The sequence below is a fragment of the Homo sapiens genome, chromosome 17, assembly GCF_000001405.40.
Source record: "Homo sapiens chromosome 17, GRCh38.p14 Primary Assembly".
Lineage (NCBI taxonomy): Eukaryota > Metazoa > Chordata > Mammalia > Primates > Hominidae > Homo > Homo sapiens.
Genome location: NC_000017.11, coordinates 76737461 through 76763624, shown reverse-complemented (window position 1 = coordinate 76763624; position 26164 = coordinate 76737461). Strand labels below are relative to the sequence as shown.

General features: G+C 44.1%; 1 protein-coding gene and 1 pseudogene across 35 annotated transcripts in view, besides 3 other annotated features; both read right to left on the bottom strand.

The window, feature by feature from the left end:
• The window catches only part of MFSD11 (major facilitator superfamily domain containing 11), a 67172-nt gene that overhangs the window by 40181 nt on the left and 827 nt on the right, over positions 1 to 26164 (bottom strand). For 5 of the 35 annotated variants that reach the window (XM_047436736.1, XM_047436737.1, XM_011525237.4 and 2 more), the window contains exons 1-9: positions 25460 to 25506; positions 25177 to 25343; positions 24632 to 24687; positions 22561 to 22668; positions 21577 to 21656; positions 21352 to 21448; positions 20169 to 20227; positions 19159 to 19303; positions 9538 to 9578 (exon numbers count right to left, since the gene is read on the bottom strand). In XM_047436736.1, the coding sequence (XP_047292692.1) occupies positions 9538 to 9578; positions 19159 to 19303; positions 20169 to 20227; positions 21352 to 21448; positions 21577 to 21656; positions 22561 to 22668; positions 24632 to 24687; positions 25177 to 25272 (682 nt within the window). In that variant the 5' untranslated portion in view covers positions 25273 to 25343; positions 25460 to 25506. Of the gene's footprint in view, positions 1 to 9420; positions 9579 to 19158; positions 19304 to 20168; positions 20228 to 21351; positions 21449 to 21576; positions 21697 to 22560; positions 22669 to 24631; positions 24688 to 25176; positions 25507 to 25626; positions 25948 to 26002; positions 26125 to 26164 lie in introns of those variants that run through there. The other 30 variants (XM_047436733.1, NM_001242534.3, NM_001353017.2 and 27 more) reach the window with 22 other exon arrangements.
• Positions 7027 to 7526: an enhancer, noted in NCBI's record as "H3K4me1 hESC enhancer chr17:74752181-74752680 (GRCh37/hg19 assembly coordinates)". NCBI's record gives its function as "activates a minimal SCP1, AML or CMV promoter by ChIP-STARR-seq in primed H9 embryonic stem cells {active_cell/tissue: H9 hESC(primed)}" and the evidence as "EXISTENCE:reporter gene assay evidence [ECO:0000049][PMID:30033119]".
• Positions 7527 to 8028: an enhancer, noted in NCBI's record as "H3K4me1 hESC enhancer chr17:74751679-74752180 (GRCh37/hg19 assembly coordinates)". NCBI's record gives its function as "activates a minimal SCP1, AML or CMV promoter by ChIP-STARR-seq in primed H9 embryonic stem cells {active_cell/tissue: H9 hESC(primed)}" and the evidence as "EXISTENCE:reporter gene assay evidence [ECO:0000049][PMID:30033119]".
• Positions 10612 to 10713, bottom strand: RNU6-97P (RNA, U6 small nuclear 97, pseudogene; annotated as a pseudogene).
• Positions 23054 to 23251: a silencer, noted in NCBI's record as "fragment chr17:74736456-74736653 (GRCh37/hg19 assembly coordinates)". NCBI's record gives its function as "represses an EF-1alpha promoter that drives an FKBP-Casp9 reporter gene in an ReSE screen in HepG2 liver carcinoma cells {active_cell/tissue: HepG2}" and the evidence as "EXISTENCE:reporter gene assay evidence [ECO:0000049][PMID:32094911]".

Here is a 26164-nt window from a genome sequence, read left to right as displayed (position 1 = left end):
CTCTTACAACTCATTAATAAAAACAGAATCCAATTTAAAAATGGGCAAAGGATCTAACTAGGGCCGGGCACGGTGGCTCACGCCTGTAATCCCAGCACTTTGGGAGGCTGAGGCGGGTGGATCACTTGAGATCAGGAATTCAAGATCAGCCAGGCCAACATGGTGAAATCCCATCTCTACAAAAAATATAACAGTTAGCCGGGAGGGGTAGCATGCACCTGTAATCCCGCTACTAGGGAGGCTGAGACAGGAGAATCACTTGAACCTGGGAGGTGGAGGTTGCAGTGAGTCGAGATTGTGCTACTGCACTCCAGCCTGGGTGGCAGAGCAATACTCCACCTCAAAAAAAAAAACAAAAAACAAAAAAACAGAAAATAACTGCAAGCACGTGGAAACACTGACAAACTCATCCTCTGCTAGTAGAAATGTAAAGTGGTATAACAATCTGGCAGTTCCCCCACAGGCTAAGCAGTCAGATACCACATGACCCAGCAATTCCACCATTCCTAGGTGTGCATCAAAGAGATCTGAAAACACATCCACACAAAAACTTGTACACGAACTTTATGTATTACCATTGGGGGAGTTCAGTCAGGATGGTGGGGAAAATTATAAGACGCAAACCTTCTTGGAAGGCCTGGGGCGTTTGCATAAGCTCCAGTGATAAACTTAGCTGAAGGCAGCCTTGTCCCCTTAGTTAAATAAATTACAGTAGAAACAAAGGAATGTGGGGAGTTTAAAAAAAAAAAAAAGGAATGTGGGGAGTTTATCTAAATAGCTTGTTTACTCTTGTGGTCCTAAGGCTAACCTTTGATTTCCCGCCGGTGCTTAATTGCTTTCTACTCGGGAAGTCCACGATGTCAATTACCCTCTAGTGGTGTTGACTCAAGCCTTTGTCAATTAATATTTACTGAATAAATGTGAGTCTCACTAGCTGGTCAAGGCCGCTTTTTTTTTTTTTTTTTTTTGGAGACGGAGTCTCGCTCAGTCGCCCAGGCTGGAGTGCAGTGGCGCGATCTCGGCTCACTGCAAGCTCCACCTCCTCGGTTCACACCATTCTCCTGCCTCAGCCTGGGACTACAGGTGCCCGCCACTACGCCTGGCTAATTTTTTTGTATTTTTAGTAGAGACGGGGTTTCACCGTGTTAGCCAGGATGGTCTCCATCTCCAACTGTTTACAGCACTCTGCGTGGAGTCTATAAGCTGCCCGGATGCTCAGCCAAACTGGCAAAGCAGAATATCTGTGTGTCAGTGTACTTTATTCATCCATTGTTGGGTCAGGGTCTGCAGGACAGACCCCTGAAACTCATAATACATAAAATATAGGAATGACTCAAATTTTATAATATATTGTGACATGAATGAGCCTTGAAACCATTATGTTAAAAGAAACCAGGCACTAAAGACCACATGTTGTATGATTCTATTTACATAAAATGTCCAGAATAAGCATATCTATAGACAAAGTAGAGGAATGGGTGCAATAGTAGTGAAAGGGGAGAAAGTTGGGAGTGCCTTAGGGAGGTTGCATTAGGAGGCTGGAATGAGAAGTGACTCTAATGTGCACAGGGAAAATGCTCTAAAATTGAGTAAAGTGATGGTTACACGACTCTGAATATAATAAATTGTACTGACTTTGCAATGGATTCTTTAGATTGATTAAATGGGTGAATCATATGGTATATGAATTTTTTTTTTTTTTTTGAGACGGAGTCTAGCTCTGTCGCCCAGGCTGGAGTGCAGTGGCGTGATCTCGGCTCACTGCAAGCTCCGCCTCCTGGGTTCACGCCATTCTCCTGCCTCAGCCTCCCAAGTAGCTGGGATTACAGGCACCCGCCACCACGCCTGGCTAATTTTTGTATTTTTAGTAGAGATGGGGTTTCACCATGTAAGCCAGGATGGTGTTGATCTCCTGACCTCATGATCCGCCCGCCTCGGCCTCCCAAAGTGCTGGGATTACAGGCGTGAGCCACTGCGCCCGGCCAGTATATGAATTATATCTCAATTTAAAAAGGCAGAATCTAACACCTTAATGAATCTTCTTCCAGTCTTTTTCTATGTATTTTTTACAAAAACAAATTCTACTATATATTCTCCATTTTATCATTTGTTTTCACGTAATATACAGGAGAATTTTTTGAACATTCACAGAGATAATTTTTATGGCTAGGGTAATCTATTATATAGATGTACTAATGTCTAACAGTTGAATACTTATTTCCAGTATCTCACTACTATAAACATCTTAGTAGCTAGATCTTGCCACAATATTTAATTATTTCCTGAGGATAATCTTACTAGTGAAATTGGTTATTCCACTGGGGCAAAGGTTATAAACATTTTTATCCCTTTTGATACCTAATGACAAATCACTTTTTATAAAGTACTACAAGTATATATCAGCAATGTAGTCTTCCCCAAGATGGAGTCTTGCTCTTGTCACCCAGGCTGCAGCACAACAGCACGATCTCGGCTCACTGCAATCTCTGTCTCCCAGGTTCAAGCAATTCTCCCGCCTCAGCCTCCTGAGTAGTTGGGATTACAGGCACTCACCACCGTGTGCGGCTAATTTTTGTTATTTTTAGTAGAGATGGGGTTTTGCCATGTTGGCTAGGCTGGTCTCGAACTCCTGACCTCATGATCCGCCCACCTCGGCCTCTCAAAGTGCTGGGATTACAGGCATGAGCCACTGCGCCCGGCCAGCAATGTAGTCTTATGCATATAATTACCTGTCCCCCCGCCCATAATATTGAGAATTATGTTTTATCTTTTGAAATCCGATAGAAACTGCTCCTGGCCAGGCACAGTGGCTCACGCCTATAACCCAGAACTTTGGGAGGCGAAGGTGAACAGATCACCTGAGGTCAGGAGTTCAAGACTAGCCTGGCCAACATAACAAAACCCCACTTCTACTAAAAATACAAAAATTAGCCAGGTGTGGTGGCATTCACCTGTAATCCCAGCTACTCAGGAGCCTGAGGCAGGAGAATCCCTTGAACCCAAGAGGTGGAGGTTGCAGTGAGCCGAGATCGCGCCACTGCACTCCAGCCTGGGTGACAAGAGCGAAACTCCCGACACTCCGTTTAAAAAAAAAAAAGAAAGAAAACTGCTTCTAATTTGCACTTTACTTACACAGTTGACCCTTGAACAACATGGGTTTGAACTTCAGGGGTCCACTTCTGTGCGGACTTTCTTCTGCCTCTGCCAACCAAGACAGCAAGACCAACCCCCTCCCTCCTCCTCCTTCTCAATGTGATGATGAGGATGAAGATCCAGATGATCCACTTCCACTCAACAAACAGTAAATATAGTTTCTCTTCCTTACAATTTTCTTTTTTTTTTTTTTTGAGACAGAGTTTAGCTCTTTTGCCCAGGCTGGAGTGAAGTGGCATGGCTCACTGCAACCTCTGCCCCGCCACCACCCCCACCCCAGGGTTCAAGCAATTCTCCTGCCTCAGCCTCCCGAGGAGCTGGGATTATAGGCGCCAGCCACCACGCCTGGCTAATTTTTGTATTTTTAGTAGAGACGGAGTTTCGCCATGCTGGCCAGGCTGGTCTCGAACTCCTGACCTTAGGTGATCTGCCAGCCTCAGCCTCCCAAAGTGCTGAAATTACAGGAATGAGCCACCAGGCCCAGTCTCCTTACGATTTTCTTAATATTTTCTTTTCTCTAGCTGACTTTATTATAAGTCTACAGTATATAATACGTATAGAAAATATGTGTGGCTTATGCCTGTAATCCCAGCACTTTGGGAGGCCGGGTGGGTGGATCACTTGAGGTCAGGAGTTCAAAACCAGTCTGGCCAACATGGTGAAACTCCATCTCTACTAAAAATACAAAAAAAAAAAAAAAAAAAAAAAAAAAAAAGGCCGGTCACGGTGGCTCACACCTGTAATCCCAGCACTTTGGGAGGCCAAGGTAGGCAGATCACGAGATCAGGAGATCGAGACCATCCTGGTTAACACAGTGAAACCCCATCTCTAGCAAAAATACAAAAAAACATTAGCCAGGCATGGTGTTACATACCTGCAGTCCCTGCTACTCAGGAGGCTGAGGCAGGAGAATCGCTTAAACCTGCGGGGCGGAGGTTGCAGTGAGCTGAGATCGCGCCACTGCACTCCAGCCTGGGTGACAGAGCCAGACTCCATCTCAAAAAAAGAAAAATACAAAAAATTTAGCTAGGTGTGGTGTCAGGCACCTGTAATCCCAGCTACTCAGGGGATTGAGGCAGGAGAATCACTTGAACCCAGGAGGCGGAGATTGTAGTGAGCTGAGATAGAACCACTGCACTCCAGCCTGGGTGACAGAGTGCCAGTCCATCTCAAAAAAAAAAAGAAAAAGAAATATATTTTATTGTATTTTATTTTTTTGGGACAAGTTCTTGCTCTGTCACCCAGGCTGGAATGCAGTGGTGTGATCATAATTCTCTGCAGCCTCAATCTCCCAGGCTCAACTGATGCTCCTGCCTCAGCCCTCCAAGTATTAATAGCTGGGACGTGCCACCATTCCCAGCTAATTTTTATTTTATTTTTTTATTTTTAGTAGAGATAAGGTCTCACTATGTTGCTTAGGCTGGTCTCGAACTCCTGAGCTCAAGTTATCCTCCCAACTTTGGCCTCCCAAAGTGCTGGTATTACAGGTGTGAGCCACTGTGCCTGACTCAAAATTTGTGTTAATCAACTGTTTATGTTATCAGTAAGGCTTCCGGTGAACAGTGACCTTAGTTAAGTATTGAGGGAGTCAAAAGTTATATGTGTATTTTCAACTGTGTGTGGGGGGTAGGGGTGTGTGGAATGGAGTGTCCATGCCCCACGCTGTTCAAGGGTCAATTATACTTAAGTTGTAACAATTTTTTCCATATTTGTAAAATGCCTCTTTTCTACTGGAGTGTTTATACTTTTCTTATTGGTTCATAACAGCTCTTTATCACATATTGCAAATATTTTCCCCAGATTTTCCTTGCCGTTTCAAGTTTGTTAGGTTGTGTTGACTGAAGTTTTACATTTATTTTCTTCAATCACTTTTTTTTTTTTTTTTTTTTTGAGACCTGGTCTCGCTCTGTGCCCATGCTGGAGTGCAGTGGCGCCATCACTGTTTACTGCAGCCTTGACCTCCAGGGCCCAAGCAATCCTTCCACCTCAGCCTCCCAAGTAGCTGGGGCTGCAAGTGCATGCCCCAAAACCCAGCTAATTTTTGTACCTTTTGTAGAGAGAGAGGTGCATCATGTTGCCCAGACTACTCTCAAACTCCTGGGCTCAAGCAATCCCCCCATCACCTTGGCTTCCCAAAGTGCTGGTATTACAGGCATGAACCACTGTGCCCAGCCTCAATTACTTTTATAGTTTCATTTTTATATTTAACCTTTAATCTACTAAAAGTTTTAATATAAAGTGAAGTATGGATCTATATTATTTTTCTATGCAGTCAGCTATCTAACCTTGCTTAAGACCCACTTTTATTGTATCCTATATTCCTCTATGAGCATGGGCTTGATTCTAGACTTTGTTTTATTGGTCTTGCTATTCTGATGTTTGCAAATGAATCTGCAATAGGTTTTAGTGTTTACTAGGATAAGTCTCTTGCCTTCTTTGAGAACATTTTTTGTTTTTTTTTTGAGACACAGTCTCGCTCTGTCACCCAGGCTGGAGTACAGTGGTGCAATCTTGGCTCACTGCAACCTCCGCCTCTTGGGTTCAAGCAATTCTCTGCCTCAGCCTCCCAAATAGCTGAGATTACAGGCACCCACCACCATGCCTGGCTAATTTTTTTGTATTTTTAGTAGAGACAGGGTTTCACCATCCTGGCCAGGTTGGTCTTGAACTCCTGACCTCGTGATCCACCTGCCTTGACCTCCCAAAGTACTGGGATTACAGGCATGAGCCACCGTGCCCGGCCTGAGAACATTTTCTTGGCTGTTTTCAGACATTCATCCTAGTAGAAGAACTTTAGCATTGTTTCCTCAAGATCAAAAAATCAATGTTTAAAAACTTTACGAACATATTTTAGAAGCACACTAAACGTATAAATTCAGTCTGGGAAGTAAGTGATTTTAGATAGTATGTAGGAACCTTCTCTGTACAACATTCATCACAGCCCCAACCACAGGAATGTCATGATTAATTAATAAATGAAGCACTGGCCACACACAGGCCACATGAAGCCTTGCCATTCATTCTCCCTCTCTCCCTATGCCTCTGGCTCCCTTGCCACCTCACGACTTCCTGTTGTGCCCCAATTGCCCAGGAACTGGCCCCTGAGTCTACTTTCCCTGCAGCACCCTACGTGCCATACCTTCTCCCTCTTCAAACCTGACAGCCCAATATCCTATGATAAATCAATCCTATCAAGTAACTGACAAGCTCCGTAATGCAAAGCATGTGGCCCAAAATGTGTCAGTGCCTCCTTTTACAGACAGAGTTGAGGCAAAGTCTGTCCAACTGTCTAGGTGAGATGTCCTGAATCTGGTTAACATTAACAGACAGCCAGAGGGGGATCTATGATGGAGCAGCTTCACCATGGCTGGGGACACCATCCCATAAGCCAGGTCATCTACCTCCCTTTAACGACTCCGATCTCACCAAGTAAGCCAATGTGGCTTTCTAGCCTGCTGACAACAAGAAGGAAATATCCATGAAAGGGCTCACTAAGAAATGTCAAGTGCCATCAAAAATGGTTAAATTGCCATTTCTATGAGTTTAGCTTGAGTCCTTTTCCCCTCTGGCCTCTGTGATCAATAATGGGTATTCTTTTTTTTTTTTTTTTCTGAGATGGAGTCTCACTCTGTCGCCCAGGCTGGAGTGCAGTGGCGCAATCTCGGCTCACTGCAACCTCCGCCTCCTAGGCTCAAGCAATTCTCCAGCCTCAGCCTCCTGAGTAGCTGGGATTACAGGCATCCGCCACCATGCCTGGCTAATTTTTGTATTTTCAGTAGAGATGGGTTTCACCATGTTGGCCAGGCTGGTCTTGAATGCCGGACCTCAAGTGATCCTCCCACCTCAGCCTCCCAAAGTGATGGCATTATAGGCATGAGCCACTGCACCCGGCCTAATAATGGGTATTCTGACAGACAAGTTTCTAGGCCTGCAAAGATGAAAGCCAAACTTTTGACAGTGATTGACCTCCTACCTTGCTAAGGGAGTCAGAGTATAATCCTTTTAATTATCACGTGTGGCTCAATTTATAATTATAAATGCATTCCCGAGCCAGGTGTGGTGGCTCACGCCTATAATCCCAGCACTCTGGGAGGCCGAGGCGGGTGGATCACTTGAGGTCAGGAGTTTGAGAACAGCCTGGCCAAAATGGAGAAACCCTGTCTCTACTAAAAAATGCAAAAATTAGCTGGGCGTGGTGGCACGTGCCTGTAGTCCCAGTTACTCAGTAGGCTGAGGCAGGAGAATCACTTGAATCCGGGAGGCAGAGGTTGCAGTGAGCCAAGATGGTGCCAGTGCACTCCAGCCTGGGCAACAGAGCATGACTCTGTTTCAAAAAAAAAAAAAAAAAATCTGGGTGCAGTGGCTCATGCCTGTAATCCCAGCAGTTTGGGAGGCCAAGGCGGGTGGATCACCTGAGGTCGGGAGTTTGAGACCAGCCTAACCAACGTGGAGAAATCCCATCTCTACTAAAAATACAAAAATTAGCCAGGTGTGGTGGCACATGCCAGTAATCCCAGCTACTTGGGAGGCTGAGGCAGGAGAATCGCTTGAACCCAGGAGGTGGAGGTTGTGGTGAGCTGAGATCGCACCATTGCATTCCAGCCTGGGCCACAAGAGCAAAACTCCATCTCAAAAAAAAAAAAAAAAAAAAAAAAAAAATATATATATATATATATATATGTATACACACACACACACACACGTACATATATACATATACACATATATATACATATATATACATATACACATATATATACACATATATATATGTAAAAAACTATGAATATATTCCTGAAACAATATACTACGTATAGAAGGCTCAGACTCCCATGCTCATAGACCTTTTCTAAAAAAACAAGCTACAGGCATTTCTGGCCAAGAGTTAACAAGCTTTGTGTCATCTGAGCCAGGCCATGGCTGATTAGATCAAGAATCTGCACTCCAGCCCAAGGCAACCTAGAAACTAATCATAAGTACTCAAGGGCCATAAGGGCCACATGTCATTAACGCCCTGTGGCCTACAATAGGCTTAATGAATATACATGGTCTCAAAAGGCTGCTCTCTTCTTGAGAATAACTGCCCCAGTCAGATTCCCTCTCCTGAGAAGACAAAGAAGCTGAGAGAGCCATAGGCAGAAGCAAAAGGGACTCACTGGAAGTTTCTGAAGGAAATTAAGAGAATCTGGCTCAAATCCCAATTCAGCCACCTACTAACTGGTTGATCTTGGGTAAATTATTTAATTTTTTTTTTTTTTTGAGACAGTCTCACAGCTGCCCAGGCTGGAGTGCAGTGGCGTGATATCAGCTCAGTGCAACCTCCACCTCCTGGGTTCAAGCAATTCTCTTGCCTCAGTCTCCCAAATAGCTGGGACCACAGGCGCCCGCCACCACACCCGACTAATTTTGTATTTTTAGTAGAGATGGGGTTTCGCCATGTTGGCCTGGCTGGTCTCAAACTCCTGACCTCAAGTGATCCACTCACCATGACCTCCCAAAGTGCTGGCATTACAGGTGTGAGCCACCATGCCTGGCCCTTAAATTATTTAATTTCTCTAAGCCTCAGTTTTCTGTTCTGTTAAACTGAGACAATGATAGGTGTGTATTATATAATACTCGTAGAATTGTGAGAATTACATAGAGTAAAAAACAAAGAATTCAGCAGAGTCTTTGGCCAGGAAGACTTCTCAATGCATGAACATGATTATTCTTACTACCTTCTGGGTCACTGGAGCTACTGCTTTGCTCCAAGAAGTAGCAAGCAATCTGCTCTTTTTTTTTTTTTTTTGAGATGGAGTCTCCCTCTGCCACCCAGGCTGAAGTGCAGTGGGGCAATCTCGGCTCACTACAACCTCCACCTCCCAGGTTCAAGCAATTCTCCTGCCTCAGCCTCCTGAGTAGCTGGGACTACAGGTGCATGCCACCACGCCCGGCAAATTTTTTATATTTTTAGTAGAGAAGAGGTTTCGCCATGTTGGCCAGGCTGGTCTTGAACTCCCGACCTCAGGTGATCCGCCTGCCTTGGACTCCCAAAGTGCTGAGATTACAGGCGCGAGTCACTGCGCGCAGCCACAATCTGCTCTTAATTACCCTGCAAAAATCCCAGGAAGACTCTCAACTTCAGGGAGAACCTGAGTGCTATGCAGCCTCTTTCCACTTCCCTCACACACCTGGGCAGGTGGGCAGTCATACCATCATCCATCCCTCACAACCCCCATGTTAGAGAGATGTTGATAAGGAAGATCAATATATTTCAGAGCAGCATACCTGGAAAAATGCAAACCCTGGGGTGTCATCAATCCAAAGTTACCAGGGAATAGGGGAAAGGCAAATGCCGAGTTGTTCCTGAACAGTTCTTGCATTTCAGATACAGAAAATACTTACTAAAAGCATCTACTGCCTTTGTCAGATTGTTCTGGGCAGACCTGAGAAAATAAAATGTAAAAAATAAGTTTTTTCTTTTTGAAAATAAAAGAACAAACATACGATCACATTTTCATTTACGTTCGTAAAAACCCTGTCCTATACCAGGTCTGAGATGCATTCCCAGTGACTCGAATGCTCCTTGCCTCAGGGTGTCCCTCATGGCCACACCCTCGCTTCAGGTTTTTAAAGTCCCACCTGGGCACCTCTCTATCAACTATTGGAAGACTATTCTTTCAGATTACACTTATTGTACATGTTTATGCACGTCTTTCTCAGAAATGATACTTCAGGCAGTACAGAAATACCTTCTATCCTGTTACTTTCACTTTCTTTCTTTCTTTCTTTTTTTTTTTTTTTTGAGACAGGGTCGCACTCCACCTCCCAGGCTGGAGTGCTGTGATGCAATCTCAGCTCACTGCAACCCCCACCTCGCAGGCTCAGGTGATCCTCCCACCAGCCATCCTCCCACCTCAGCCTCTTGAGTAGCTGGGATTACAGGTGGGTCCCACCACACCCAGATAATTTTTTGTAGTTTTGGTAGAGACGGGGTCTCACCATGTTGCCAGACTGGTCTTGAACTTCTGAGCTCAAGTGATCCACCTGCCTCAGCATCCTGAAGTGCTGGGATTCCAGGCATGAGCCACCACACCCGGCCTATCCTGTTACCTTCAAACTGAAAATAATCTGTGAGTACTCAATTTTCTACCGCCCTTACTATGAAAAATAAGTTCTTTGGCATTAAAACCCGTCAGAGACTTTTGTTATTTTCTGCATCCTGAGGTGGTTACTTTGGATGTGGTATCATGAAGGCTTTCTTGAAGTTAGCTTTCATTCATCTCCTTGCTGCTATGACTGTTTGGGTATCGAGAACCAAGAGACTTTGACAGGTACTGTACTCTCGATTGGCTTCACATCAAAATTCAAGCACTGACAGGTGACGACTGCTATGTGCTTTCTGATGAAGTGTTTTTGGGAACTGTAACCAACATGTGACAAGATTTTTTTTTTTTATGGAACAAGATTTTTTTTTTTAAATATGGAACACTTCACAAATTTGCATGTCATCCTTGCGCAGGGGCCATGCTAATCTCTGTATTGTTCCAATTTTAGTATTTGTGCTGCCGAAGTGAGCACAAGATTTTTATATGTTATATGTTTCTATACCAACAGTGTCATCAAATCTCAGGTTTTAAAAGGGAAGGTTATTTTAAAATCTGTACTAATATTTACCTCAGGAAGATTACCAAGGCAAGGATTCATGCCTATCTCCTGCCCTGCTGAGAGAGGTGGGTCTTCGTCGCAACCTGCAATTTTATTTATCCATACAAGGCAGGTCAAATCACAGACTTGGGCAGGGTGTGGTGGCTCACGCCTGGAACCCCAGCACTTTGGGAGGCCAAGGCAGGCTGATCACTTGAGGGTGGATTACTTGAGGTCAGGAGTTTCAGATCAGCCTGGCCAACATGGCGAAACCCTATCTCTACTAAAAATACAAAAAAATTTAGCAGGGTGTGGTGGTGCACCCCTGTAATCCCAGCTACTCAGGAGGCTGACATGAGAATCGCTTGAACCCAGAAACTGAGATCACGCCACTTCACTCCAGCCTGGGCAACAGAGCAAGACTCCATCTCAAAAAAAAAAAAAAAAATCCCTGACTTTTCCAGTTTACCAAGACTACTGCCGAAACACTACTGAGTGCTTGAAATCATGCTCCAAAGCTTAAAACGTATTTTTCTTATTCATCCACCAAGATTGATGAAGTCAAGGAAGTGCCTAACATTAGATCATTGTACATCCTATGCCTCATTTTCTCTTCAATGGGAAACGGAAGTGGGTTATATAAGGTGATACACAGAGCAACTGCAGCTGTCTGAGGACTGAGCAACAACACGCCTGAGCTATAATACTGAGGATGGCAGAGTTCTTATTGATACCATTTGCTTTCATTAATCTGCAATTTTCACAAAGCAGACATTTCCTTCTATGATTCCTTTGGAGAAATAAGTTTTTAATTATACTAGAATCATATTCAATAACACTCTTCAGAATCATGAATGCCCTCCTTGTGACATGGCTGGGACGCACAATGATCTACTGATTGAAACAAGGGCTTTGGAGTCAGAGGCCTGGCTTTGCTGCTAATTAGTTGTGTGATTTTAGACAAGTGACTTCATTTCTCCAAGTATTATTTCCTCATTCATCAAATAGGGATGCTACGACTTACCCATGGGAATTAAATAAGATAATGCAAGTTAAGCATAATTGTTAATAAGATTATAAGAAAGTTTTTAAAAAATATTTTTTCCTTAATTTTTAAAGATTTTTCTTTTTCCTTTTTTTTTTTTTTGAGACCGAGTCTTGCTCTGTCATCAGGCTGGAATGCACTGGCACAATCATGGCTCAGTGTAGCCTTGACCTCCTGGGCTCAAGTGATCCTCCTGCCTCAGCCTCCTGAGTAACTGGGACTACAGGCATGCACCACCATGCCTGTAGAGACAGGCATGATTTTTAAATTTTTGCAGAGACAGTATTCCACAAGGTTGCCAGGCTGGTCTGGAACTCTGGGCTCAGTGATCCTCTGACTTCAGCCTCCCAAAGTGTTGGGATTACAGGTGTGAACCACCACACCCATCCTAGAAAGATTTTTTTTTTTCTTAAGACAATGTCTCGCTCTGTCACCCAGACTGGAGTGCAGTGGCACGATCTCAGCTCACTGCAATCTCCACCTCCCAGGTTCACGCCATTCTCCTGCCTCAGCCTCCCAAGTAGCTGGGACTACAGGCGCCTGCCACTACGCCTGGCTAATTTTTTTGTATTTTTAGTAGAGATGGGTTTCACCGTGTTAGCCAGGATAGTCTCGATCTCCTGACCTCGTGACCCGCCCGCCTCGGCCTCCCAAAGTGCTGGGATTACAGGTGTGAGCCACTGCACCCAGCCAAAAGATTTTTAAAAGATTACATTTCTATCCTGTAATCCCAGCACTCTGGGAGGCCAAGGCGGGTGGATCACTTGAGGTAAGGAGTTTGAGACCAGCCTGGCCAACATGGTGAAACCCCACCTCTACTAAAAATACAAAAATTAGCCAGGTGTGGCAGGTGCCTGTAATCCCAGCTACTTGGGAGGCCGAGGCAGCAGAATCACTTGAACATGGAAGGCGGAGGTTTCAGTGAGCCTAGACCGTGTCACTGCACTCCAGCCTGGGTGAGAGAGCGAGACTCCGTATCAAAAAAAAAAAAAAGATTACATTTCCTATCCTAATAGCCAAGTCTACTCCTATATCTCTAAATGGCATTTTTACCAAAAAAAAGTAATGTAAAGAAGATCTTGTTAACTTAAGAAATAAAAGGAATCTAATGGTGATCCAATTAAGTTAAAAAATTTCTAAAGCTCGGCCAGGCGCGGTGGCTCACGCCTGTAATCCCAGCACTTTGGGAGGCTGAGGTGGGCGGATCACGAGGTCAGGAGATCGAGACCATCCTGGCTAACACAGTGAAACTCAGTCTCTACTAAAAATACAAAAAATTAGCCGGGCGTGTGGCAGGAGCCTGTAGTCCCAGCTACTCAGGAGGCTGAGACAGGAGAATGGCGTGCACCCGGGAGGCGGAGCCGAGTTTGCGCCACTGCACTCCAGCCTGGGCGACAGAGTGAGACTCTGTCTCAAAAAAAAAAAAAAAAAAAAAATTACTAACACACAAAAAAATAGTGTGCTCTAACCAGCAAGAAAACTTTTTTCCTCATCATAAAACTCATGCCTTGCCCGGAAGCAAATACTATTTAGATGCCATCATTTGGTAGTACCCTCATTTTATACTTGGATAGGATCCCATGTAGGATTCCAATATTTTACCCTTCAGGCCCCAATTAACTGATTTATACTCTACAGACGACTAAAATACAATAATTCAGCTGCAAATCACTTCCAATTTAATTCAGTGAGTTATTTACCATTTAAGTTAGACCACTGTCAGTCCTCTCTCGAACCCTCCAATGGCTTACCATCCCACTCCAGGTAAAAGCCACACCTGGCTCACCTCTTTCAGGCCCTGACTTAAATGTTACTTTCTCAGCCTTCCCAACTCTGTAACTGCAACAGCTCCCCTTCCACCTCCCACCCTCATATTTCTCTATTGCTTCTCTGCTTTTTTTTTTTTTTTTTGAGAAGGAGTCTCACTCTATCGCCCAGGCTGGAGTGCTGCGGTGCAATCTTGGCTCACTGCCACCTCCAACTCCCTGGTTCAAGCGATTCTCCTACCTCAGCCTCCTGAGTAGCTGGGATTACAGGCACACACCACCACACCAGGCTAATTTTTGTATTTTTAGTAGAGACGGAGTTTCACCATGTTGGCCAGGATGGTCTCGATCTCCTGACCTCGTGATCCGCCCACCTCGGCCTCCCAAAGTGCTGGAATTACAGGTTTAAGTCACCGTGCCCAGCCTGCTTTATTTTTTTATTTCAAGAACCATATGGAGATAGGCTACAGCATACATTGTTCCTTCTTCTTCTTTTTTTTTTTGAGACAGGCTCTCTCCCTGTCACCCAGGCTGGAGTGTGGTGGTGTGATTATCTTGGCTCACTGCAACCTCCGCGTCCTGGGCGTAAGCGATTCTCCCACCTCAGTCTCTCAAGTAGCTGGGAGCACAGACATGCGCCACCATGCCTGATTAATTTTTGTATTTTTTTTTTGGTAGAGATGGTGTTTCGCCATGTTGCTCAGGCTAATCTCAAATTCCTGGGTTCAAGCAATCCGCCTGTCTCGGCCTCCCAAAGTGCTATGATTTTTATTACCTGGAAAAGGAACCACAGGCCAAGCATGGGCCATCACATTCATCCTGTGGCTCCTTTTTGGGGTAATAAAAGTATTCATAAAATATTCTAAAATTGGTTTCAATGATGGACGCACAACTCTGTGAATATACTCAAAAGCACTGAAGTGTATACTTTAGATGGGTGAATTATATAGTATATGAGTTATATCTCAATAAAGCTATTTTTAAAACCTGCCTGTTTCTTTTCTCTCTGTCACCAACTAGAAAGTAAGCTCCATGAATGCACAAACTTCTGTTTTATTTAGCACAATGCTTGGAATATCAGAGAACCTCAAATATAGGGGAAGGAAGAAAAGAAGGGAGAGAGGAAGGGAGGGTGGGAGAGAGGGAAGGGAAAGAAAGGATGAATGCAGGAAGGTAAGAAGTGAAAGGATAGAGGGAGGAAAGAAGAGAGGAAGGAAAGAATACAGGGAGGAGGGGAGAAGGAGGATAGAAGTAACTGCCAATGAAGAAACACCCAGAGATCACCCAGCTAATAAGTCCTCAGAGATGCAAATTACGCACTTGAGATAGAGGACAGATTTTTTTTTTTTAAGACAGGGTCTTGCTCTGTTGCCCATGCTGGAGTGCAGCGGCGTGACCACAGCTCACTGCAACCTTGAATCCCTTTGCTGAAGCTTCCCCCTACCTCGGCCTCTCAAGTAGCTGGGACTACAGGCGTGCACCACCACACCTGGCTCATTTTTTTTTTTTTTAAGTAGAGACTAGGTCTTGCTATGTTGCCCAGGCTGATTTCAAACAGGGCTCAAGCGATCTTCTTGCCTCAGCCTCCCAAGGTGCTGGGATTACAGGCAGGAGCCACTGTGCCCAGCCAGAAGACAGACAGAGCTGTCTCTTTGGACCTCTTCAAATCTTTTTCTGTGAGGCCTTTAGGTGGGAACCTTTAAAACAGAATTCTACTTATACCCTCAACAGCTTCTAATCACACTAAGAAGAAAACACAAACCTCCTATCTTGGCTTACATAATCTGACCCTGTCTACTGCTTCCACTTCTTCCTTCTTGGAGACCAGAGCCCACCACGCCCTTCCCACTGCCTGGCTTTGGCAAAGGCCACCCGCTGACCTTCATGTCTCACCAGCCACGTCTCAGGGAGCCACCCCACTCTCCCCCCTCCCCCCCACTCTCCCCCTCTTTCACAGTCTTCCTAACACTCACTTTGCTATTTTCTTACACGTGCATTGTCTACCACCCCCTCTAAAATTAAGTCCCGTAAGAACAAGGACTTATCTGTCTTGTTCACGCCTATATCCCTCAGGCATAGAAGAGGGCTGCCACAAGTCTGTGCTATTTGTAGAACAAAGACACAGAAGCTCCAAATTTAGGAGACGATTCAGGAAGAGAGAATGCTACAAAGGCTGAGCAGTATTTCTAGAAGAACGCCAGCTCACAGTTACAGAACCCCTCATCCACCTCCCCAACTTGGCAGTTCCTTAAAAACAGGGATGGGCGGCATTTGTCCTCTAGGACCAACACCAAACATGTGCTGGCTGAATGGGGGGGTCAGTTTTCATTGAATTTGTGGTATTCACTTTCACAGACTCCTTCTCCAGTAACTACTGGTTTGTGCTTTAAAACAAAATGTTTTGCCAGGCGCGGTGGCTCACGCCTGTAATCCCAGCACTTTGGGAGGCCAAGGCGGGTGGATCACGAGGTCAGGAGTTCGAGACCAGCCTGCCCAACATAGTGAAGCCCCGTCTCTACTAAAAATACAAAAATTAGCTGGGTATGGTGGCATGTGCCTGTAGTCCCAGCTACTCGGGAGGCTGAGGCGGAAGAATCACTTGAACCTGGGAAGCAGAGGTTGCAGTGAGCCAAGACTACGCCATTGCACTCCAGCCTGGGTGAAAAAGTGAGACTCCATCTCAAAAAAAAAAAAAGTTTCACCATGTTGCCCCGTCTGGTCTCAAACTCCTAAGCCCAAACAATCCACCTGCCTCAGCCTCCCAAAGTGCTGGGATTACAGGCGTGAGCCACTGTACCCAGCCCCAGGCACAGATGTTCTTAATGTGACCTACCTAGAATGATGACTCCTTCTCAAAAGGTTTACAATTTACTTTGCTTAGATCTGAAGAATCATTATCTATGGCAGCTATATCCTCATGAAATGTATTTCTTAAATAATAAGACTTGAAAGTTGAAATTAGCCAGGCATGGTGGTGCACGCCTGTAATGCCAGTTACTGAGGAGGCTGAGGCAGGAGGAATCTCTTGAACCCGGGAGGCAGAGGTTGCAGTGAGCCGAGATCCCGCCACTGCACTCCAGCCTGGGTGACAGAGCAAGACTTTGTCTCAAAAAAAAAAAAATGGAAATTACTCCTTGATCCAGGGGCTGCAGAACACATGTTGTTAGAAGGCATGAAAACAACATTCATCTCCTTGTACACCTCCAACAAAGCACTTGGCTGATCAGGTACATTGTCAATAAGCAGTAATATTTTGAGAGGAACCTTTTCTTCTGAGCAGTAGGTCTCAACAGTGGGCTTAAAATAGTCAATAAGCCATGCCGTAAACAAATGTGCTACCATCCAGGCTTTGTCACTGCATTTCTAGAGCCCAGGCAGAGTAGATTAAGCATGATTCTTAAGGGTCATAGGGTTTCTGGAATGGTAAATGAGCACTGGCTTCAACTTCAAGTCATTAGCTGCATTATCCCCTAACAAGAGTCGGCCTGTTCTTTGAAGGTTTAAAGCCCGGCATTAACTTCTCTCTAGCTATAAAATTCCTAGATGGCATCTTTTAATGTAAGACTGTTTGGTCTACATTGAAAACCTGTTGTTTAGTGCAGCTACGTTTGTCAATTATAATGGCCAGATCTTCTGGATAACTTGCTGCAGCTTCTCCAGCAGCACTTGCTGTTTCACCTTGCACTTTTATGTCATGGAGATGGTTTCTTTCCTTGATCCTCACGAACCAACCTCTGCTAGCTTCAAATTTTTCTTCTAAAGATTCCTCACGTCTCTCAGCCTTCACAGAATTGAAGAGAGGGACTTGCTCTGGATTAGGCTTCAGAGAATGTTGTGGCTGGGTTGATCTTCTATCCAGACCACTAAAACTTTCTCCGTATCAGCAATAAGGCTGTTTCACTTTCTTATCATTCGTGTGTTCCCTGGAGTAGCTCTTTTGAGTCCCTTCAAAAACTTTTCCTTTGCATTCACAACTTGGCTGTTTGGCACAAGAGGCATAGCTTTCAGCCTGTCTCAGCTTTCTACATGTCTTCCTTGCTAAGCTTAGTCATTTCTTGATTAGTCATTAGCCGGGTGTGGTGGTGCATGCCTGTAATCCCAGCTACTTGGGAGGCTGAGGCAGAGGCTGCAGTGAGCCGAGATCATGCCACTGCACTCCAGCTTGGGTGACAGAGCGAGACTCCGTCTCAAAAAATAAATAAATAAATAAATAAATAAATAAGTAAATAATAAAGTGAGAGACATGCATGTCTTCCTTTCACTTTAACACATAGAGGCTATTGTAGGGTCATTAACTGGCCTAATTTCAATATTGCTGTGTCTCAGGAGAAGAGGGAGGGAGATGGGGGATGGCCTGCAGTGGAACAGTCAGAACACACACAACATTTATCAATTAAGTTCACCACCTTATATGGATCTGGTTTGTGGTGCCCCAAAACAATTGCAATAGTAACATCAAAGATTACCGATCACATCTTATAACAGATGTCATAAGAATGAAATGTTTGAAGTATTGTGAGAATTACCAAAATGTGACAGAGAGACACAAAGTGACCACACGCTGTTGGAAAAGTGGTATGGAGAGAAAGACTTACTCGATGCAGGGTTGCCACAAGCCTTCAATTTGTAAAAAACCCAGTGTCTGTGAAGCACAATAAAGAGCAAGAAAGCAGGGCATGGCAGCATATCCAGACCAAAGCGCTGCCTTGCTTCTGCTTTACACAAACTTACTGCAAATCTGGAGCATCTAATGCTCCTATGACTGGACAATTTTAGGCCCTTTCTGGATTACAAAGTCAGCATGGGATGCTCAATGCGAAAGTTTTAACAATATATAAAATGCTATAAGGCAATCTTCACAATGTATCACAAACAAAGCAAAACAAGGGTGGCAGAGATTAATTTCTCATCTCTCCTTCCTCAAATCTAAATGATACTGCAGATCACTAGCCTGTCATGCTTAAATAGTGTCACCTGAAACTGAAATGTGCTTAGGTAATTTACAATTTTTACAAAACACAGGGTTGTATACTCATTCCCCTATTTGGACCACTCTGGGGAAAACCGCCTATGTAAGTTAGTGCAAGAGCCGGACACCATAAGCAAGAGCCTAGTGATAACCAAGGTTCATCTGTGACAACCATCACTGGCCCTGCCACTCACTCACACCACAAGAACAGGAAAGCTTTAGAGCTGGATCACAGAAACAGTAACCAAGGTCAACACTGCCTTCTATTTCCTTGCCCATGGAAACATATGGATTGAGTGAGAAAGCTGAGGCCTGGAGACATGAAAGGAATTGCTGCCACTGTCCAGGGTCACACACATCAGTGGCAAGGCCAGGAACAGACTCAACTTCCCTGTGCACCTTTTCACCACCTCCCTTCCTCTGGTGACCTTTTTTTTCTTCCTCCCTCGCAGCTCCTCCTTTATTTTCTTCCTTTTCTTGCCTGTGGTAACCTACAGAGAGTACTGGACATCAGTTAGGGCTAAACGGGTTGGTAATCTCTAGACTAGATCTACTCAAAATCTATTTTAAAATAAAATAGAATGTTTCCAACATCTTACTCGTTGACTTCCATGTCCTGGTCATCAGAAGACTCATCTTCTCCTAGGACATTTTCAGAATCTGGTTTCCGAATGAGAAAGAATAGAACTGTCCCCACAAGGCTAATCACCGTTAGGGCAATAAACACTGTTCTTCGGTCACTCTCTACGGAGAAAAAAGAAGAAACAAGATAGTATCGACCAAACAATTCCAGAATTAGTATCACGGTACAAGGGCTGCTTACAACTGTCAACACACTTCCTCGTTACATTTTTACTTTAATGCATCAGTAAAAACCTAGGAAAAGGAGACAAATAGGATACCTTCACCTTTGTCTTTCAGTTAGAGAAATATGAATAAGCCAAAGAAAAACAGCACAAGGGCTTAATCGCCTTCTTTTAATCAAAGAAGGGTCCAGAGAAAACAACTGAGCATTCAGAAGTCTTCTGAGAACCACATACTCGTGCGCAGTATTCTCGTAAGCTCGTGCACAGCATAACCTTCCCTTAGACCCTGAGAAGCCCCTTAAAGCATAGTCATAAACTATAATCCTAGTTTAGTAATAGAAACCAGGCTGGGAGGGATGGCTCAGGCCTGTAATACCACCAATTTGGGAGGCTGAGGAGGGCGGATCACCTGAGGTCAGGAGTTTGAGACCAGCCTGAACAACATGGAGAAACCCATCTCTACTAAAAATACAAAATTAGCTGGGCGTGGTGGTGCAGGCCTGTAATCCCAGCTACTTGGGAGGCTGAAGCAGGAGAACTGTTTGAACCCGGGAGGCGGAGGTTGCGGTGAGCCAAGATGGCACCATTGCATTCCAGCCTGGGTAACAAGAGTGAAACTCCATCTCAAAATAATAATAATAATATAAACCAAGGAAAAGTCTTACTAAAAGCTAAAATCTGCGAGAACTTGAGGTGTCGGGGTTCATGAGAACGATGCTTGAATAAAGCAATAATGGGTATTTCTATATAACTCCTATTATGCTTTGAACATATCTGAATAAAGCAACGCGAATAAAACAAACCTGATATCTGAGTTTTCCCTTGCCAGGCAAAATATATGTAGAGATTTCCAAAGAACAAGCTGGGGGAAGAAAAGGGAGGATAGGATGTTGGGTAATTATTTTAATATTTATAGTTTTTTAAAAATAATTATTCCCATTATTTGTTGTAAGAGAGGGAGAGAGAAGGACATCATTTTTAAAGTATCTACCTGTCCTGGGTCATTTAAAAGTATCAGCTTCATCTGGACTCTGATAAACTTAACTGCCCCAGATGGAATTCAGTCTCCTTCCATGTGACAGTAACCTGATTCAGAGGCACCCTTCAAAGAAGAATTGACTCACTTTGAAACATGTGATTTATTGCAACTCTGGAAATGACTCCCTGGAAATAAGCTTAAGCTAAATTTTAAAGAATCTGTTTCTAAAAATCCATGATTTAGTTATCTGCATCTAATCAAATACTTTCTTTAGCATACTTTCCTGAAAAATCATTCACTTACACACTAGTTTCTTAATATACAACTCTTTAAAATGTAACATTTGCATTTGTTAAGCCTTGTCAAGGCCAAAATTTTAGGCGCGATTCATGAGGGTGATTCCTCAGAAGAGATTCCAGAAATCCAACAGTCAAGAGCAGAATAGCTGTTTTGCTTTCTTCTTAAGAAAAATGTTAAGGCCAGGCACGGTGGTTCACGCCTGTAATCCCAACACTCTGGGAGCCCAAGGCGGGCGGATCACAAGGTCAGGAGTTCGAGACCAGCCTGGCCAACATAGTGAAACTCCGTCTCTACTAAAAATACAAAAAAAATTAGCCGGGCGTGGTGGTGGGCGCCTGTAATCCCAGCTACTCAGGAGGCTAAGGCAGGAGAATTGCTTGAATCCAGGAGGCAGAGCTTGCAGTAAGCCGAGATCGTGCCATTGCACTCCAGCCCAGGTGACAGTGTGAGACACCGTCTCATTTAAAAAAAAAAAAAAAGTTAGTATGCTATATTCAGTATTGGTATAAATAGTCCTGAGTAGCTAGTGAGCCACCATACTCAGCCATTATTACAAGTGATTCTATAAAATTGGAATCACGTCACATTTAGCTAGAACTTAAGTCACGTAACATGGAAGATCCAAATTGTCAACCAAAGACCTAAAAAATGGTATGACAGAAAAAAAAGAAAGAAAAGGAAAGACTGAACCTCAAAAGGATAATTACCTAGACTGCAGAAGTGCCCAGAAAATCCCACTGTTTCTCCCAATGCTGTGCTCATCCGAATTGATTGTCAGGCAGTTTCCTTGTGCTGTCCAAAGCACTAAAATTCAACCCAAAAGTTTATCAAGGGAAAGAAATTCACTTAGAGTCACATACTAAACACATAAATAATACCCTTAGATAGGCCCCAGAAAAGAAAGCAGAGAAGTTAAAAATCAAAATGCTTACCAGCAGCAGCAATTCCAATGAAAACAGAGGCTGTGTAGAAGGACCACGGGAAAGGCTGGATGAAAACGGCAATGTACATGCTAAAATATAACAGGTCAAGGTATTACAGTCAAACGATACCTGAAATAGAATGCCAATTATGCCTTCTAGGAATCAGTTCTGACATTCTCTTCTTTTAAAACTCAACCTGTAAAGGATCGCTCCAGTTTTGAAAAAAGGGACACAATCAACTTTCTCATTTCTTAATTAATTAATTTTTTTGAGACAGGGTCTCACTCCATTGCCTAGGCTGGAGTGCAGTGGTACCATCACAGCTCACTGCAACCTCCACCTCCTGGGCTCAAGCCATCCTCCCACCTCAGCCTCCTAAGTAGCTGGGACTACAGGCATGTGCCACCAAGCCCGGCTAATTTTTTTTTATTTTTGGTAGAGACAAGGGTTTCACCATGTTGCCCAGGCTGGTCTCGAACTCCTGGACCCAAGTGATCCTTGGCTCAAGCAATACCTCGGCCTCCCAAAGTGTTGGGATTTACAGGTGTGAGCCACTGTGCCTGGCCCATAATTTATTATTTCAGATTTGCAAAATCAGACATTTTACAGGTTTGCAGTGTTCTTTGCCAAAAGCTTAGCACATCATGGAACTATAGTTCTAGAGTTCAGAGAAAGATTTAGTTATTTCATTTGAATCCCCACATATTTTCAGTCAATTGACAGAAAATAAGATTATTTCATAGAATGTTCTTTTCAACCCTCATAGAGACTTTTGGATACTATTTTTATTAACAATAAAACAAAAGCAGATATAGATACATCCTATCACATTAGAATATGATATCCCTGAGCAACAAGTACTGAGCCAAAATTCGTAAAATACCACCTATATTCTATTCAGTCCAAGTCTATAAATTATTGTGAAGTTTACTATCTACTTGAAAGATCCTGACAAGTGTTCTGATTAAATAAGTGCAAGATTACACTACTTACCTGTAAAATAAACCACTGGCAAACATAGAGAGTTGAGGTCCTACAATGGCAACCACTGACGGTGTAATCAAATTTGAAGCAGAGAACACTCCATAGATAATAGCCATGCTGCACACATAATACACAAACGGAAAAAAAAAAAAAAAAGAACAAAGCCCTTATATGCTGTGTCACTGTTTAAAATCCATTTGTTTATAGATTTTACAATAAACACTCATATTATTTAGTCAGAATTTATGATAGTTATATCATTCAATTCAATACCATATAAAAGTTTTCATTTGTACAAAATATTGAAGCCCACCAACTGTGCCTTGGGATCAGTCTGCCTACAATACATTTTTTACATACTGGTAAGTCATAGTAACAGGAACTGTGCCAAGTACCTTATACAGATTTTCTCTTCTAATCCTAACAGCACTAGGAGAAAGATATTGTTATTATCCTCATGTGAAAGAAAAGAAAAAGGAAATACAGTGGGATTAAGTAATTTGCCAAAAGTCCAGCTGGGTGGCTGGTGAATGTCGAGCCAGGACTGCATGACTCCAGAGGCCCCAGTCCACCAATCTGCCCTACAAACTTAGCCTACAACTCTGGCAGCGTCATGACATTTCTCTGCTATAAATAACAAGCGCAGAGCTACAACTTGCTTAAGCCAGAATTTATTTAACTCAACCTAATGGTCTCACTTGAACATTATTACTCAGTTACTATTGACCCAGCCCTAGTACATATGTCTTGTACGAAGTGTGGTTAAAACCATTTCAAAGGCCCTGAATTCATTTACTAGATACTATTCATAAATCCAAAGTAAATTATTCTTTGGCTTTTATGAATCTCTCAAATATCAAATGTGTTTTTGCATTTGTTCTTTTTTTTTTTTTTTTTTTTGAGACGGAGCCTCGCTCTGTCGCCCAGGCTGGAGTCCAGTGGCACAATCTCTGCTCACTGCAAGCTCCCCTTCCCGGGTTCACGCCATTCTCTTGCCTCAGCCTCCCGAGTAGCTGGGATTACAGGCGCCCACCACCATGCCTGGCTAATTTTTTTTTTTTTTGTATTTTTAGTACAGACGGGGTTTCACCGTGTTAGCCACGATGGTCTAGATCTCCTGACCTCGTGATCCGCCCACCTCCGCCTCCCAAAGCGCTGGGATTACAGGCGTGAGCCCCCGCACCCGGCCGCATTTGTTCTTTAGAATACACATGAAGACAAAAAAGTAGAAAAAGCTGTGCTACTAATCACTTACAAAAATGAACAGTAACATCCCTTCATTCTCAAATATTACATACAAGGCTTAGGATAGGGAAAAAGAACCAAGTATGAGTTATGGGTTTGTGGGGGGCGGGGGAGTGCCACGATCCAATCTCTAACTCTAGAGAAATTAAGAAACTGTTTCTACAGCTCAATGTAGCCATTCCATGGCACATATTTCAAAACATGTTGTACACAATAAATAACAGGCAATTTTCATTTGTCAATTAACAAATCTAATTTTAAAAAAGAAAAACCTGTTTGTGTATATATACCTGTACATATTACATTCTCAGGTCCAATCACAAGGTTCTAGTGACTTGTGAAGGTCTTTTCATTTTACCCATCTGTAAAATTGGGACTAATCACCTTAACAAAAATCTAAAAGCTCCTGACATACGTATATTAATCGTCATGAATTACAAAAACAGAAGGACCAAATGTTTCAAGAATCACAACATCTTCTATAGGACTGGGAATTCTAATCATGACAATACTAGAGTGCTTATTCAATGCCATGCACTGTGCCAAGTGCTTTACATGCATTGTCTGAACTAGGAAATTAGGCTCACGGAAACACTTACCTAAGATAACAATGCAATAAATACCTTGTAGAGTCAGGATTTCAAACCTAGTGCCTAATTCCACAGGAAACCTAAACTCATCAGCTTTATTCTATTATGTTCTCTCAGTCTAGGCACTGAGAAGAGAAAATGCCATCACCACTTATTCAATCACAATATTCTATTGCTGGTGATTCTGATGAGATTTAAGCAACTACTGTCAAATATAAAGCAAAATCAATCATACGGTACAATACCTGGTATATCCACTGCCGTGAAAATCTGTCCTATTTAAGCTCCTGATGACAGTTTGCTGTGTGGAAGATAAAACTAATCAACGAAAATGTTTTGCAGTCTCCCTCCCACCCTTGGGAAGTGTGACTCCAAGTACTCAGCAAGAGAATAAAGTAAAAGTTCATAATGTACTTAATACTGAAGTCCATTATGAGAAAAGAAAAAGGACAACAGAACTGCAGAAGGCAAACCAATGACAGGGAGGGGGGAGGAAAAGCAGCTGTAACCATCCAAGTACTAAGGAAGCGCTTAATACAGACGAGAAACAAAATAACCAGGTTAACATCCAAACCCCTAATCAAATCAGATTAAACGATAATGCTTAACGCCCCCATGAGAAATGTCTGACACAAGAAATCAAACCTAATCATAAAAAATGAGGAAGTCTGGGTGGGAAAAATGAAAGATGCAATTAAAGCGCGCTATTAGATATAATGAACGTTTATTTTCATTTCTGGACTGCATTATGATGGGCACTTCAAAGGAGGGAGGACAGATTCCAACTCACCGCCACATTTCCACAAGTTTGAAAGGCAGTGAACATAAACATAAAGGCAACTCCTAAAATAATGATGTTGAAAAGCTTTTTAGATTCCGGGGACATTTTGGCTCAGCTCTGCCGGAGGCAGCAGCCCAGGGCAGTCAGCTCTCCTCGGGGCGAAGCCACTGACAATCCTGGAGAAAGAAATGAGATGGTGAGTGGAGAAGGCAGATGCAGGAGCCAGGCAGCCAAGCTGTCAACTTCCAGTTCCTGGATCGGAACCCCAGGTTTAGGGCGAAGTTCTCCCCACCGGCAGTTAGGATACTCCTAAGAAGCGATCCGAGTACGGAAGAGCACAACCCCCGGAGAAGCGCCAAGAATTTATCCGCTCCAGGTTGAGGGGCCCACGAAGGGGATTAAAGGGCCAAGTGCCAGCCGCAGCAGCCGGCGCGGCCCCGCCCTCCCAGCCTGACTCACTGCGGCCAGGCGACCGGGTCACCTGACCGCAGCCGCGGCGCCGGCCGCTCGGCCCGCTGGGAAACGTAGTCCCGGGTGGCCTGGCACGCGCAAGCGCTCCGCGGGGAGTCCCCACCGCCAGGACGCAGAGCCGACGGAGCTCTCGGGCTCTGGCGAAAGGGGGTTGGGAAGCGGACTCCGGCGAAGAGCAGTCAGGAACGGCTGGACGGGGCCGAGAGACGACGCAGCGGAGTCTGAGGGGGCCGGGGTCACAGGGAGAGGCAAATGAGGGCAGAAGCACTCTTCAGACGGAGACGGGGCTGACGGCTGAGCAAAAAAGGGGCGTGAACTTGGAGTATTGGCATGAAAAAAAGGTGGGGGCCCAGATGGGGAGCACCTCCTCTTCCTCCTGCCCAATCGCGATCGTCCGGCCTCCCAGGCGGAAAAAGCGTTTCGCGGGCTTTCCAACTGCCCGCTAATTCCGCTCCCCCTCCCTCCAGCCGTGACTCCGCGCTTTTTGGCCCGCCCGCCGGGCTGTGCGCAGGCGCTTCGGGTAGGG